Below are 1,387 nucleotides of genomic sequence, written 5' to 3' on the forward strand. Positions count from 1 at the left end.
TGTGGAGGTGGAATAGGAGAATATGGGCTTTCTGTGAGCAGTGATTGCCTAAAATATATACATCAAGGTTGTAGGATCATGTGCACCACTGCACTCTAGCCGGGGTGACAGAGTGAGACCCTGTTTCAAAAAAATTAAAAAAAAATTGTAGGATCATGGAGAAAGTGTCTTAAGTGTTTGGTGCTGTGGACAGGCAACACAGGCAGAAACTGGTGGCTAGGGAATCAGAGAAGTTTTCAGGAGGGAGCATTTGACTTGGGCTTGAACTGAGCATCATAGGGCAATATAGAAACAAGTTTATGGATAATTAACTGAATTGGTGGCAGTTTATAACTTGAATCTTCCTTCAGATGATTGAAGTTAGTAGCCCAGCTATGAAAGTCTAGGTTACAGATGTCTCAGCCACAGCTTGCATATATATGGATGAGGTTCATACATATGCAGACTTGGGCTCCTGCCAAGATATGAGAGTTTTGGTCAGTCTCTGTCTCAATTCTAATGTCTCTGCCTACATACTTCAGTCCAGAGTTGTCATGCAAAGAACAGAACCCTGGAACAATCACACAAGGATTTGGTACTAGGCTTAGCCATTTTCTAGCCATGGGGACAAAAGAAAATTACTGAACCTCTCTGAGTCCCAGTTTATTTGTCTATAAAATAGGGATAGTGATACTGGGGTTACAAGGAAATTGTGAGAATTAAAATAGTTCAGGAGAGGTTAAGTTGTCCTGGGGCCACCTTTGTCATTGCAGTGACCACACTCTGTAGTGAGGGCACCCTTGAGAGCAGACAGCAGAGCTGCTATGTGATTCATCTCTAGAATCCATGATTCTTGGAACACTTCCTGAGAGCTATTAGGCATTCAAGAAATGTTAATGGTAGATCATAGTATAATGGTAGATCATAGTATTGTGATAGATCATAGTATTGTATTATTGTTCAGCAAACATCTGTTTTCCCTCCTTTCATTGGAAGTGGTGTACTTCCCCACCCCACTGACATTGGGCTTAGCCATGTGACTTGCTTCAGCTAATGGAATGTGAGTGACTCAGTGAATGCCACATCCAAGCAGAGGCGTTAAATATTCCTGCATGGCCTCTGGTGATCCTGTCCTCCAGCATGAGATGAACATGCTTCAGATAGCTGCTGCTACTCTCCTGGATCCTCTTCTGAGAGCCAAGTGAAGCAAATAGGAACCCAATTCACCACCCAGATCCAGGCCCATCTGAATCTAGCCAGCCCAGAAGAGCCCTGTAGAACCACAGCTGACCTATGGAAATGAGAAGTAAATGTTTGTTGTTGTTAGCATTGAGATTTGGGGATTACTTTTTATGTGACATCATCACAACAAAGCCTGACTAATATATTGTATAAAGTTAATTGAGTA

The sequence above is a fragment of the Homo sapiens genome, chromosome 2 (genome assembly GCF_000001405.40).
Source record: "Homo sapiens chromosome 2, GRCh38.p14 Primary Assembly".
Lineage (NCBI taxonomy): Eukaryota > Metazoa > Chordata > Mammalia > Primates > Hominidae > Homo > Homo sapiens.